Source organism: Homo sapiens, chromosome Y, assembly GCF_000001405.40.
Source record: "Homo sapiens chromosome Y, GRCh38.p14 Primary Assembly".
NCBI lineage: Eukaryota > Metazoa > Chordata > Mammalia > Primates > Hominidae > Homo > Homo sapiens.
This window is the reverse complement of record NC_000024.10, coordinates 11310603-11325387: the sequence shown is the minus strand read 5'-3', so window position 1 is coordinate 11325387 and position 14785 is coordinate 11310603. Positions and strand designations below refer to the sequence as shown.

General features: G+C 53.6%; 2 pseudogenes, besides 5 other annotated features; both read right to left on the bottom strand.

Annotated features, from left to right (window-relative positions):
* Positions 1-2404: 2404 nt before the first annotated feature.
* On the bottom strand, positions 2405-3830 carry DUX4L18 (double homeobox 4 like 18 (pseudogene); annotated as a pseudogene).
* Positions 4262-4763: an enhancer, noted in NCBI's record as "OCT4 hESC enhancer chrY:13476301-13476802 (GRCh37/hg19 assembly coordinates)". NCBI's record gives its function as "activates a minimal SCP1, AML or CMV promoter by ChIP-STARR-seq in primed H9 embryonic stem cells {active_cell/tissue: H9 hESC(primed)}" and the evidence as "EXISTENCE:reporter gene assay evidence [ECO:0000049][PMID:30033119]".
* Positions 6343-6862: an enhancer, noted in NCBI's record as "OCT4 hESC enhancer chrY:13474202-13474721 (GRCh37/hg19 assembly coordinates)". NCBI's record gives its function as "activates a minimal SCP1, AML or CMV promoter by ChIP-STARR-seq in naive and primed H9 embryonic stem cells {active_cell/tissue: H9 hESC(naive and primed)}" and the evidence as "EXISTENCE:reporter gene assay evidence [ECO:0000049][PMID:30033119]".
* DUX4L17 (double homeobox 4 like 17 (pseudogene)) lies at positions 9043-10467 on the bottom strand (annotated as a pseudogene).
* Positions 11766-12326: an enhancer, noted in NCBI's record as "OCT4-NANOG hESC enhancer chrY:13468738-13469298 (GRCh37/hg19 assembly coordinates)". NCBI's record gives its function as "activates a minimal SCP1, AML or CMV promoter by ChIP-STARR-seq in naive and primed H9 embryonic stem cells {active_cell/tissue: H9 hESC(naive and primed)}" and the evidence as "EXISTENCE:reporter gene assay evidence [ECO:0000049][PMID:30033119]".
* Positions 12512-13011: an enhancer, noted in NCBI's record as "OCT4-NANOG-H3K27ac hESC enhancer chrY:13468053-13468552 (GRCh37/hg19 assembly coordinates)". NCBI's record gives its function as "activates a minimal SCP1, AML or CMV promoter by ChIP-STARR-seq in naive and primed H9 embryonic stem cells {active_cell/tissue: H9 hESC(naive and primed)}" and the evidence as "EXISTENCE:reporter gene assay evidence [ECO:0000049][PMID:30033119]".
* Positions 13012-13513: an enhancer, noted in NCBI's record as "OCT4-NANOG-H3K27ac hESC enhancer chrY:13467551-13468052 (GRCh37/hg19 assembly coordinates)". NCBI's record gives its function as "activates a minimal SCP1, AML or CMV promoter by ChIP-STARR-seq in naive and primed H9 embryonic stem cells {active_cell/tissue: H9 hESC(naive and primed)}" and the evidence as "EXISTENCE:reporter gene assay evidence [ECO:0000049][PMID:30033119]".

Genomic DNA, 14785 nt, shown 5'->3' with positions numbered 1-14785 from the left:
GTCAAGGATATGGCTACAGGGACATTGTGACATGTCACTGCACTGATCACACAGCTGATGTAACTCTTGTCTAGACTCTGGCTATAGGGGGCTTGTGAGACATCTCTGCACTGATCACCCAGGTGATGTAACCCTTGTCTAGCCTCTGCCAAAAGGGGGCATTGTGACATAACTCTGCACTGATCACCCAGGTGATGGGACTCTTGTCTAGGCTCTGCCTACAGGGGCATTGTGACATATCTCTGCAGTGATCACGCAGGTGATGTAACTCTTGTCTATATCTGCCTATTGGCGGCATTGTGGCATATTTCTGCACTGATCACTCAGGTGATGGACTCTTGTCTTGGATCTGACTATGGGGGCATAGTGACATATCTCTGCACTGATCACTCATGTGATGTAATGCTTGTCTAAGCTGCGGCAAAAGAGGAATTGTGACAGATATCTCCACTGATTACCCAGGTGATGTAACAATTTTCTGGGATTTGTCTACAGGGGCTTTGTGATATATCTTTGCACTGATCACCCTGGAGATATAACACTTGTCTAGGCTCGGCCTACAGGGACTTTGTGACAGATTTCTGCACTGATCACCCAGGTGATGTAACCCTTGTTTAGGCTCTGTCTACAGGGGCTTTGTGACATATCTCTGCACTGATCACCCAGGTGAGGTAACTCTTGTCTAGGCTCCACCTACAGGGGGTATTGTGACATATCTCTGCACTGATCACCCAGGTGATGTAACATTTATCTAGGCTCTGCCTACAGGGGCGTTTTGACACAGCTCTGCACAGATCACCTAGGTTATGTAACTCTTGTACACTCTCTGCCTACAAGGGGCATTGTGAAATATCTCTGCACTGATCACCCAGGTGATGGGACTCTTCTCTATACTCTGCCTAGACGGGGATTTGTGACATATCTCTGCACTGATCACCCAGGTGATGGAAGTCTTGTTTAGGCTCTGTCTATGGGGGCATTGTGTCAAATATCTGCATTGATCACCCAGGTGATGTAACTCTTGTCTAGGCTCTGTCTACAGAGATTTTTGTGATGTATCACTGCACTGATCACCTAGTTAATGTAAGCCTTTTATGGGCTTTGCCTACAGTAGGCTTTGTGACATATCTATGCACTGATTTCTGAGGTGATGCAACTCGTGTCTAGGCACTGCCTACAAGAAACATTGGCACATATCTCTGCACTGATCACTCAGGTGATGGACTCTTGACTTAGATCTGCCTACATGGACATTGTTACACATCTCTGAACTGATCAAGCAATTGATGAAACACTTGTCTAGGCTCTGCCTACAGGGGCTTTGTGACACATCTCTGCACTGATCACCCTGGGGAGGGAACTCTTTTCTACGTTCTGCCTACAGGTTGTGATATACATTTCCACTGATCAAACAGGTGATGTAACCCTTGTCAAGGTTCTGCTTACAGGGGCTTTGTGACATATCTCTGCACTGATCACCCCAAGGAGGAAACACTTGTCTACACTCTGCCTAGAGGAGGCTTTACGACTTAACCCTGCACTGGTCACTAGGTGATGTAACACTTGTCTAGGCTGTGTCTACACGGGAATTTTCAAATATCTCTACACTGAGCACCTAAGTGATGTAACCCTTGTCTATGTTTAGCCTACTGGGGATTTCTGACATACCTATGCACTGATCACCTAGGTGATGTAAATCATTTCCAGGCTTTTTGTACAGGGGACATTGTGATATATCTCTGCACTGGTAACCCAAATGATGCAAATCTTCTCTAGGCTCCGCAGGGAGCGGGCATTTTGATATATTCCTGAACCGATCATCCAGGAGATATAACTATTCTCCAGGCTCTGACTACAGAGCGTCGGAAGGTGTTGGGAGAGCCTCAGCTGGAATTTCACGGATGGACAAGGGCACAGAGAGTCCAGCAGGCTCCCTTGCACAATAGCCGTGGTGCGCAATGAGCGCAGGTCTAGCCAGGAGGCCGGCAAAGAGAGCTAGAGGTCTGCGTTCTGCCTCCAGGCACTCCATGGTGGGAGCTGGGAGGCTCCAGGGGCACGGGCGGGCCTGCGACGGTGGCGCGGAGGCGCAGAGGAAGCGAGCAGCTGGAGGGGTGTCAGGCCTGGACGCTGCACAGGCCCGGTGTTTCGCGGGACGGTGGTCTCCACCCAGCACATGGGAGGACGCATTTTCCGGGTGTGGCGGGTGCGGTTCGTGAGGGGGTGGTCAGGCTGGTGTGTGGTGGTGGAAAGGCATGAGAGCTCTGCCTAGGCTGCTCCCACAGCCCAGGCGGCTGCCCGCAAACCCGCACATGTGCAGTATGCGGCCCAGCTGCTGGTACCGGGGCCGGCTCTGGGATCCCCAGGATGCCCAGGAAAGAATGGCAGTTCTCCGCTGTTTGGAGTCTCTCACCGGGCCTAGACATAGAAGACAGGAATCCCAGGCCAGTCAGTCTGGTGGAGGGGGTGGGGGGAAGACACGCACCTCCATAGCCAGACAGGTGTTCCCCACGAAAGAGAGGCCACCGCATTGCCCCGACCCGACCCCGTCCCAACAATGCATCCTAAAGCTCCTCCAGCAGAACCTGGTATTCTTCCTTGCTGAGGGGTGCTTCCAGCGACGCGGCCTCTTCCAAGGCCTCCAGCTCCCCCGGGGCCTCCGTTTCTAGGAAAGGTTGCTCCTGCTGCAGAAACTCCGGGCTCGCCAGGAGCTCATCCTGCAGCAGGCCGGAGGGGAGTGCAGACGAGCGCCCCGGCTCCTGGAGCGCCTGGGAAGGCGCCCGGATGCCTTGCATCTGCCCCTGCCACTCGGAGGCCTCCGGGGGCGCGGGCTGGCGAGGTGGAGCTACCCCGGCGTGGGGTTCCCACGCCGCCCCGGTGACCTGGGGACCCCGGCACCAGCCCCACCGCGGACTCCCCTGGGACGCAGGTGATGCAAGCACACCTTGGCCTTGTGGCCCCGCTTGAGCGGGCCCAGGCTGTCCCACTGCACAAGGGCCCGGCAGGCCGTCGCTCTGCGGGTCCCAGTCCTCTCGGCTTTTGCCCGGGTGCGGAGGCCACCGAGGAGCCTGAGGCTGGGAAAGCGTTCCTTACGGAGGACCCGGGGAGGCACAGGAAAAACCCCTACAAGCCAGGGCAGGTTGGGAGATCCCCTATGCCGGTGCGGCCAAGCTGGACTGGAGCACGGGGACGTCCCTTGCTCCCTGGCTCACGAAAGCCCCCTGTTGGAGAGCCACAGGTGCTCAGGGCACTTTGGGTGTGGGAAGCCCTGTTCCAAACACGCTAGTGTGGGCGAAGGCGACCCACGAAGGAGCAGGGTGACACGCGCCGGGGGCTGCGTTGCACAGCCCGCCTGCCTGGGCGGGCGCCCTACCAGGCTGTCCCAGGTACCTCACCCTTTGATTCTGAAACCAGATCTGAATCCTGGACTCTGGGAGGCCCGTCTTTCTGGCCAGCTCTTACCTGGCGGCGATGCCTGGAAAGCGATCTTTCTCAAAGGCTCAGAGGAGCAGGGTGTTTCGGGGTCTTGTGACGGCGGTCCGCTTTCGCCTGCCTTCTTGCGGGCCCCGTCTTCCGGGCCAGGGCCAAGATTCCCGCCGATGTTGCCTCAGCTGGCGTGACCTCTCATTGTGAAACCAAATCGGGACCCTGGACTCTGGAATGCCGATGGCCTGGGCCAGCCGTTCACTGGTGGCCATGCCAGGATACGGGTTCCTCTCAAAGCAGCCTCGCAGGGCCTCCCTTTGGCTCGGGGTCCAAACGAGTCTCCTTTGCCGTCCCCGTCCCCGGGCTTCCGCGGGGAGGGTGCTGTCCGAAGTTGTCAGGAGGGCCATCGCAGGGAGCCCCAGCCGGAATTTCATGGACGGACATGGGCAGAGAGAGGTCTGCGGGCTCCCGTGCACCTCAGCCGGCGAGTGCGCTGCAGCAGGTGCAGCCAGGGGGACTGCCCGGACAGCCAGCCAGCGGCTCTTATAAAGGCCCGCAGGCAGGCAGGTTCCACCCCTTTATGAATGGCGGTGAGCCCAGTAACAGCCTGACACACCCCAGAAGGGTCTCAGGGCGTCGCGGCCTGCGGCCGGGGGCTGGTGGGGTGGGGGAGGAGGGCGTGGGTGGGTCCAGAGACACGAAGAGGAAGGGGGCGAGGGGGAAGTGCTGAAGGGGGCGCGTTTTGGGGGCTGGCTCTCCGGACCTCTCCAGGAATCCAGCAGGAACTGGAAGCCGCTCTCTGGGCTCCCATGAGTCTTCAGCAGGGAGAAACTGGCCTGGGTGGGTGGAGGGGAGTGTGGAACTGAACTTTCGTGGGAGTCCTGAGTGTTCCAGACCCTCTCTCCGTGAAGGAGGCAGTGCCTGTGGCTGTCGCCATTGCCGGGACAGTCTCACACAGGCAGGCTTGTGGCTCTGGTTTATTTCCACGTAGGAGACCAGAGGGAGACCCCAGAGAGAAGATGCCTCCCCGGAGTGATGGCCTGACGATGGATTCCCGTGTGCGGCAACATGGGGAGTCTGCAGTGTGACCGGTTTGGAAACTGGCAATGAGAGAGAAGGCACCATGCCGGTCTTCAACCCTTCCCTTCATGTTTCCGGGTGCCCGCAGAGCTCCGGGAGAAAACAGTCAGCATGACACATCTCTGAACTGATCAACAAAGTGATGTAACAGTTGTCTAGGCTCTGCTTACAGGGCTTTGTGACATATCTCTACACTGATCACCCAGCTGATGGGACTTTATTCTAGGCTCTGCCCATGGGGGCATTGTGACATATCTCTACACCTATCACCCAGGTGATGTAACTCTTGTGTTAGATCTGCCTATGGGGACATTGTGACATATTTCTGCACTGATCACCCAGGTGATGGGACCCTTGTCTAGGCTCTATTTATGGGGACTTTGTGACATATCTCTGCACTGATCACCCAGGTGATGTAACGCTTGACTAGGTTCTGCCTACGGGGCATAGTGACATATCACTGCATTGATCTCCGAGGTGATTTAACTGTTGTACATGCTCTGCCTATAGGGGGCCTTGTGACATTTCTCTGCACTGATCACCTAGGTGATGCAACTATTGCTTACGCTCTGCCTGCAGGGGCATTGTGAAATATCTCTTCACTGATCACCCAGGTGATGGGATTCTTCTATAGGCTCTGCTTATTGGGGGAATTGTCACATATTTCTGCACTGATCACCCATGTGACGGACTCTTGTCTTGGATTTGCCTGTGGGGGCATTGTGACATATCTCTGCACTGATCACCCAGGTGATGTAACTCTGGTCTAAGCTCTGCCTAAAGGGGCATTGCGTCAGATCTCTGCACTGATCACTCAGGTGATGTAACTATTGTCTAGGCTCTGCTTAAAGGGGCCTCGTCACATATCTCTGCACTGATCACCCAGGTGATGTAACTCTTGTCTAGGCTCTGCTTACAGGGGGTATTGCGACATATCTCTGCACTGATCCCCCAGGTGATGCAACCCTTGTGTAGGTTCTGCCAAAAGGGGGCATTGTGACATACCTCTGCACTGATCACCCAGGTGATGGAACTCTTGTCTAGGCTCTGCCTACAGGGGCATTGTGACATATCTCTGCAGTGATCACGCAGGTGATGTAACTTTTGTCTATATCTGCCTACCGGCGGCATTGTGGCATATTTCTGCACTGATCACCCAGGTGACGGACTCTTGTATTGGATCTGCCTATGGGGGCATAGTGACATATCTCTGCACTGATAACTCATGTGATGTAACACTTGTCTAAGCTGCGCCTAAAGGGGAATTGTGACAGATATCTACACTGATCACCCAGGTGATGTAACAATTTTCTGGGATTTGTCTACAGGGGGCTTTGTGACATATGTTTGCACTGATCACCCAGGAGATGTAACCCTTGTCTAGGCTCGGCCTGTAGGGGCTTTGTGATATATTTCTGCATTGATCACCCAGGTGATGGAACATTTGTCTAGGCTCCACCTACAGGGGGCATTGTGACGTATCTCTGCACTGATCACCCAGGTGATGTAACATTTATCTAGGCTCTGCCTACAGGGGTGTTTAGACATAGCTCTGCACAGATCACCTAGGTTGTGTAACTCTTCTCCACTCTCTGCCTACAGGGCGCATTGTGAAATATCTCTGCACTGATCACCATGTGATGGGACTCTTCTCTATACTCTACCTAGAGGGGGACTTGTGACATATCTCTGCACTGATCACCCAGGTGATGGAAGTCTTGTCTAGCCTCTGTCTATGGGGGCATTGTGTCAAATATCTGCATTGATCACCCAGGTGATGTAACTCTTGTCCAGACTCTGCCTACTGGAGACATTGTGACATATCTCTGCACTGATCACCCAGGTGATGTCACTTTTGTCAAGGATATGGCTACAGGGACATTGTGACATGTCACTGCACTGATCACACAGCTGATGTAACTCTTGTCTAAGATCTGGCTACAGGAGGCTTGTGACATATCTCTGCACTGATCACCCAGGTGATGTAACCCTTGTCTAGGCTCTGCCAAAAGGCGGCATTGTGACATAACTCTGCACTGATCACCCAGGTGATGGGACTCTTGTCTAGGCTCTGCCTACAGGGGCATTGTGACATATCTCTGCAGTGATCACGCAGGTGATGTAACTCTTGTCTATATCTGCCTACTGGCGGCATTGTGGCATATTTCTACACTGATCACCCAGGTGATGGACTCTTGTCTTGGATCTGCCTATGGGGGCATAGTGACATATCTCTGCACTGATCACTCATGTGATGTAACACTTGTCTAAGTTGCGCCTAAAGGGGAATTGTGACAGATACCTCCAGTGATCACCCAGGTGATGTAACATTTTTCTGGGATTTGTCTACAGGGGACTTTGTGACATATATTTGCACTGATCACCCAGGAGATGTAACTCTTGTGTAGGCTCCAACTACAGGGGGTATTGTAACATATTTCTGCACTGATCACCCAGGTGATGTAAGTCTTGTTTAGGCTCTGCCTACAGGGGCTTTGTGACATACCTCTGCACTGATCACCCAGGTGATGTAACTCTTGTCTAGGCTCTACGTACAGGGGGTATTGTGACGTATCTCAACACTGGTCACCCAGGTGATGTAACATTTATCTAGGCTCTGCCTACAGGGGCGTTTTGACATAGGTCTGCACAGATCACCTAGGTTATGTAACTCTTATCCTCTCTCTGCCTACAGGGGGCATTGTGAAATATCTCTGCACTGATCACCCAGGTGATGGGACTCTTCTCTATACTCTGCCTAGAGGGGGTTTGTGACATATCTCTGCACTGATCACCCAGGTGATGGAAGTCTTGTCTAGGCTCTGTCTATGGGGGCATTGTGTCTAATATCTGCACTGATCACCCAGGTGATGTAAGTCTTGTCTAGGCTCTGTCTACAGGGATTTTTGTGACATATCACTGCACTGATCACCTAGGTGATGCAAGCCTTGTACGGGCTTTGCCTACAGAAGGCTTTGTGAGATATCTATGCACTCATCTCTGAAGTGATGCAACTCTTGTCTAGCCACTGCCTACAGAGGACATTGGTATATCTCTCTGCACTGATCACCCAGGTGATGGACTCTTGTCTTAGATCTGCCTACATGGACATTGTGACACATCTCTGAACTGATCAACCAAGTGATGAAACTGTTGTCTAGGCTCTGCCTACAGGGGCTTTGTGATACATCTCTGCACTGATCACCCTGGGGAGGGAACTCTTGTCTACTCTCTGCCTACAGGAGACTGTATGACTTATACCTGCTCGGATAACCTAGGTGATGTAACACTTTTCTAGACTCTGCCTACACGGATATTCTCACATATCTCTGCACTGATTACCCTGGTGATGTTACTCCTGTCTAGGTTCAGTCTACAGGAGAGTTTTGACATATCTCTGCACTGATCACCCTGGTGATGTAACCCTTGTCTAAGCTCTGCCTACAGGGGCATTGTGACAGATCTCTCCACTGCTCACCCAGGTGATGTAACAATTGTCTGTGCTTTGCCTACAGGAGAATTTGTGATATACATTTCCACTGATCAAACAGGTGATGTAACCGTTGTCAAGGTTCTGCTTACAGGGGCTTTGTGACATATCTCTTCACTGGTCACCCCAGGGAGGAATCAGTTGTCTACACTCTACCTACAGGATGCTTTACAACTTATTCCTGCACTGATCACTAGGTGATGTAACACTTCTCTAGGCTGTGTCTAGACGGGAATTTTCACATATCTCTATGCTGATCACCTAAGTGATGTAACCCTTGTCTAGGTTCAGGCTACTGGGGATATCTGACATACCTATGCACTGATCACCGAGGTGATGTAAATCATTTCCAGGCTTTTTGTACATGGGACATTGTGATATATCTCTGCGCTGATCACCCAAATGATGCAAATCTTCTCTAGGCTCCGGAGGGAGGGGGCATTGGGACATATTTCTGAACCGATCATCCAGGAGATGTAACCATTCTCCAGACTTTGACTAAAGAGCGTCGGAATGTGTTGGGAGAACCTCAGCCAGAATTTCACAGATGGACAAGGGCACAGAGAGGCGAGCGGGCTCCTTGCACATCAGCCAGGGTGTGCAATGAGCGCAGGTCTAGCCAGGAGGCCGGCAAAGAGAGCTAGAGGTCTGCGTTCCGCCGCCAGGCTATCCATTGTGGCAGCTAGGAGGCTGCAGAGGCACACGCGGGCTGGCAACGGTGGCGTGGAGGCGCACACAAGGCGAGCCTCCGGAGGGCTGTCAGGACTGGATGCTGCAGGGGCCCAGTGTTTCGCTGGACGGGTTTCTCCAACCAGCCCAGGGGAGGAAGCATTTTCCGTGGGTGGGGGGTGGGGGTGGGGTGGGTCTGGTCAGGCGGGGGTGGGGTGGTGGAAAGGCATGAGGGCTCTGCCCGGGCTGCTCCCACAGCCCAGGCAGCTGCCCACAAACCTGCGCGTGCGCAGTGGGTGGCCCACCTGTTTGTACCTGGGCCGGATCTGGTATCCCCAGGATGCCCAGGAAAGAATGGCAGTTCTCTGCTGTATGGATTCTCTTACCGGGCCTAGACCAAGAAGGCAGGAATCCCAGGCCGGTCAGCCCAGTGGAGGGGGCGGGTGGAAGACACGCCCCTCCATAGCCAGCAAGGTGTTCCCCACGAAAGAGAGGCCACCGCCCTGCCCCGACCTGACACCGTCCCAACCCCGCGACCTAAATTCCTCCATCAGAGCCCAGTATTCTTCCTTGCTGAGGGGTGCTTCCAGCAAGGTGGCCTCTTCCAAGGCCTCCAGCTCCCCCGGGGCCTCCATTTCTAGGAAAGGTTGCGCCTGCTGCAGAAACTCCGCGCTCGCCCGGAGCTCATCCAGTATCAGGCCGGAGGGGAGTGCAGATGAGCGCCCCGGCTCCTGGAGCACCTGGAAGGGCGCCGGGATGCCCTGCATTTGCCCCTTCCGCGCGGAGGCCTCCGGGGACGTGGGCTGGTGAGGTGGAACTGCCCCAACTTGGAGTTCCCAAGCTGACCCGGCGACGTGGGGACCCCGGCTCCAGCCCCACCACGGACTCCCCTGGGATGTGGGTGGGGAAAGCACAACTTGGCCCTGTGGCCCCGCATGAGCAGGCCCAGGCTGTCCCACCGCGAAAGGGCCCATCAGGCCGTCGCGCTGCGGGTCCCTGTCCTCCTGGCTTATGCCTGGTTGTGGAGGCCACCGAGGAGACTGAGGGTGGGAGAGCACCCCTTCCGATTGAGCCCGGGTGGCGTAAGCAATATCCCCGCGTGCTGGGGCGGGTTGGGAGATCCCCTCTGCTGGCGTGTCCCGGCTGGGCTGCAGTACAGGGGCGGCCCTCGCTCCCTGGCTCATGAAAGCCCCCTGTGGGAGAGCACCAGGTGCGCAGGGCACGTGGGGTTCTGGAAGCCCTATTCCCCACGTGCTAGTGTGGGCGAAGGCGACCCACGAGGGAGCAGGGTGACACCCCCTGGGGGCCGCGTTGTACAGGCCGCCTGCCTGCGTGTTCCATCTGCCACCCTGTCCCGGGTGCCTGGCCCTTTGATTCTGAAACTAGATCTGAATCTTGGACTCCGGGAGGCCCGTCTCTCTGGCCAGCTCTTCCCTAGCGGCGATGCCTGGAAAGCGATACTTCTCAAAGGCTCAGAGGAGCACGGTGGTCTGGGATCCGGTGACGGCGGTCCGCTTTCGCCTGCCTTCTTGCGGGCCACGTCTCCAAGGCCAGGGCCGAGATTCCCACCGGTGCTGCCTCAGCTGGCGTGACCTCCCATTCTGAAACCAAATCTGGACCCTAGGCTCCAGAATGCCGATGGCCTGGGCCAGCGGTACTCTGGTGGCGATGTCCGGGTATGGGTTCCGCTCAAAGCAGGCTTGCAGGGCCTCACTTTGGCTCGGGGTCCAAACGAGTCTCCTAGACCGTCCCAGTCCCCGGGCTTCCGCGGGGAGTGTGCCGTCCGAAGGTGTCGGGAGGGCCATCGCGGGGAGCCCCGGCCGGAATTTCACGGATGGACACTGGCAGAGAGAGGCTGGCGGGCTCCCGTGCACCTCAGCCAGCCTGTGCACTGCGGCAGGTGCAGCCAGGAGGCCTGCCCGGACAGCCAGCCAGCGGCTCTTATAAAGGCACGCAGACAGGCAGGCTGCACCCCTTCATGAATGGCGGTGAGCCCTGGGACAGCCCACCCCACCACGGAACGTTCCCAGGGAGTCGAGGCCTGCGGCCGTGTGGTGGTGGGGTGGTGGGGAGGGCGTGCTGATGGCTGTGGTGAGGCTGGAGAAATGAAGAGGAAGGGGGTGAGGGGGAAGGGGTGAAGGGGGCGCGTTTCAGGGACTGGCTCTCCGGACCACTCCAGGAATCCCGCGGGAACTGGAAGCCACTCTCTGGGCTCCCACGCGTCTTCAGCAGCTAGAAACCCCTCTGGGAGGGTGGAGGGGAGTTTGGAACTGAACCTCTGTGGGAGTCTTTGGTGTTCCAGGCCCTCTCTCCGAGAAGGAGGCAGTGCCTGTGGGTGTCGCCGTTGCCGGGACAGTCTCACACAGGCAGGCTTGTGGCTCTCGTTCATTTCCACGTAGGAGACCAGAGCGAGACACCAGAGAGAAGATGCCTCCCTGGCGTGATGGCCTGAAGATGGATTCCCGTGGTCAGCAACATGGGGAGTCTGCAGTGTGGCCGGTTTTCAAACTGGCAAGGAGAGCGAAGGCACCATGCCAGTCTCCCACCCTTCCCTGCATGTTTCTGGGTGCCCGCAGAGCTCCGGGAGCAAACAGTCAGCATGACACATCTCTAAACTGATCTACAAAGTGATGAAAATCTTGTCTATGCTCTGCCTACGGGGCTTTGTGACGTATCTCTGCACTGATTACCCAGCGGATGGGAATTTTGTCTAGGCTCTGCCTATGGGGGCATTGTGACATATCTCTACACTGATCACCCAGGTGATGTAACTCTTGTGTAGGATCTGCCTATGGGGGCATTGTGACATATTTCTGCACTGATAACCCAGATGATGGGACTCTTGTCTAGGCTCTGTGTGTGGGGGCTTTGTGACATATCTCTGCACTGATCACCTAGGTGATGTAACGCTTGTTTAGACTCTTCCTACGGGGCATAGTGACATATCACTGCATTGATCACTGAGGTGATGTAACTCTTGTCCAGGCTCTGCCTATAGGGGGCCTTGTGACATATCTCTGCACTGATCATCTCAGTGATGTAACTCTTGCTTACACTCTGCCTTCAGGGGCATTGTGAAATATCTCTGCACTGATCACCCAGGTGATGGGACTATTCTCTAGGCTCTGCCTACTGGGGGCATGGTCACATATGTCTGCACTGATCACACAGGTGACAGAATCTCAACTTGGATTTGCCTATGGAGGCATTGTGACATATCTCTGCACTGATCACCCAGGTGATGTAACTCTGGTCTAAGCTCTGCCTAAAGGGGCATTGTGACAGATCTCTGCACTGATCACTCAGGTGATGTAACTATTGTCTAGGCTCTGCTTAAAGGGGCCTTGTCACATATGTCTGCACTGATCACCCAGGTGACGTAACTCTTCTCTAGGCTCTGCTTACAAGGGGTATTGTGACATATCTCTGCACTGATCATCTAAGTGATATAACAATTGTGTAGGCTCTGCCTACAGAGGCATTTTGACATATCTCTGCACTGTTAACCGAGGTGATGTAACTCTTGTCTAGGCTGTGCCCACAGGGGGATTGAGACATATCTCTGCCCTGATCCCGAGGTGATCCAATTCTTGCCTGGTCTCTGCCTACTGGGGACATTGTGACATATCTCTGCAATGATCTCCCAGGTGCTGTAACTTTAGTTTAGGCTCCGTCTACATGGCATTGTGACATACCACTGCACTGATCACCCAGGTGATATAACTCTTGTCTAAGCTCTGCCTACAGGGGGTTGTGACATATCTCTGCACTGATCATCCAGGTGATATAACTCTTCTCTAGGATTTGCCTACAGGGTGCTTTGTGACATATCCCTGCAATGATCACCCAGGTGATGTACCACTTGTCAAAGCTCTGCCTACAGGGACATTGCGATGTATCTCTGCACTGATCACCTAGGTCATGTAACCGTTGTCTAGGCTCTGCCTACAGTGGCATTGTGACATATCTCTGCACTGATCACCCGAGTGATGTAACTCTTCTCCAGGATCTGCCTAACGGGACTTTGTGACATAACTCTGCACTGATCATCCAGGTGATGGGGCTTTTGTCTAGGATCTGCCTAAGGGGGCATTGTGACATATTTCTGCACTGATCACCCAGGTGATGGACTCTTGTCTTGGATCTGCCTATGGGGGCATTGTGACATATCTCTGCACTGATCACCCAGGTGATGTAACTGTTGTATAAGCTCTGCCTACAGGGTAATTGTGAGAGATCTCGCCACTGATCAACCAACTGTTGTAACTATTGTCTAGGCTTTGCCTACAGGGGGCTTTGTGACATACCTTTGCACTGATAACCCAGGTGATATAACTCATCCAAGTTCTGCCTACAGGAGCTTTGTGACATATCTCTGCACTGATCACTTAGGTGATGTAACACTTTTATAAGCACTGCCTACAGGGAATTTTGACAAATCTCTGCACTGATCACCTAGGTGATGTAACACTTTTATAAGCACTGCCTACAGGGAATTCTGACAAATCTCTGCACTGATCACCTAGGTGATGTAACTCTTGTCTACCCTCTGCCCAAAGGGGGCACTGTGAAATATCTCTGCACAAAATCACCCAGGTGATTCAACTCTTGTCTAGGTTCTGCCTACAGTGGGTGTTGTGAAATATCTCTGCACTGATGAACTAGGTGATGTAACTTTTGTCTAGGCTCTGCGTACAGTGGCGTTTTCACATATCCCTGAACTGAAGACAAAGGTGATGTAACTATTCTCTAGGCTTTTCCTACAGGGGACATTGTGACATATCTCTTCACTGATCACCAAGGTGATGCAACTCTTCTCTATGCTCTGCCTACAGGAGGCATTGTGACATATCTCTGCACTGATCACCCAGGTGATGTAACTCTTTTCTCTTCTCTGCCTACAAGGGACGTTTTGACATCACTCTGCACGGATCACCCTGGTTATTTAACTCTTGTCTAGGCTCTGCCTATGGGGGCATTGTGACTTATCTCTACACTGATCACCTAGGAGTTGTGACTCTGGTCTAAGCTCTGCCTAGAGGGACATTGGGACATATCTCTGCACTGATCACTTAGGTGATGTAAAATTTGTCTAGGCTTTGCCTACAGTGGGGTTTATGACATATCTCTGCACTGATCACCCAGGTGATGTAACTCTTTTCTAGGCTCTGCTTACAGGGTGTATTGTGAGATATCTCTGCACGGATCACCCAGGTGATGTAACTCTTTTCTAGGCTCTGCCTACAGAGGGCATTGTGACATTACTCTGCACGGATCACCCGGGTTATGTAACTCTTGTCTAGGCTCTGCCTATGGGGGCATTGTGATTTATCACTGCCCTGATAACCCAGGAGATGTGACTATTGTATAAGCTCTGCCTAGAGGAACATTGGGACATATCTTTGCACTGACCGCTGATGTGATGTAAAACTTGTCTAGGCTTTGCCTACAGTGGGATTTATGACATATCTCTTCACTGATCACCCAGGTGATGTAACTCTTGTCTAGGCTCTGCCTACAGGGGCATTTTCACATAGCACTGCACTGATCACCGAGATGATGTAACTCTTGTATAGGCTTTGTCGACAGGGGGCATTGAGACATATCTGTGCACTGATCACCGAGGTGATGCAACTCTTGTCTGGGATCTGCTTACCGGGGGCATTGTGACATATCTCTGCTCTGATCACCCAGGTGATGTAACTCTTGTCTACGCTCTGCATACTGGAGGCATTGTGACATATCTCCGCACCGATCACCCAGGTGATGTCACTATTCTCAAGGATATGGCTACAGAGACATTGTGACATGTCACTGCACTGATCACACACCTGATGTAACTCTTGTCTAGGCTCTGGGTACAGGGGGCTTGTGACACATCTCTGCACTGATCACCCAGGTGATGTAACCCTTGTCTAGCCTCTGCCAAAAGGGGGCATTTTGACATAACTCTGCACTGATCACCCAGGTGATGGGACTCTTGTCTAGGCTCTGCCTACAGGGGCATTGTGACATATCTCTGCAGTGATCACGCAGGTGATGTAACTCTTGTCTATATCTGCCTACTGGTGGCATTGTGGCATATTTCTGCACTGATCAACCAGGTGATGGACTCTTGTCTTG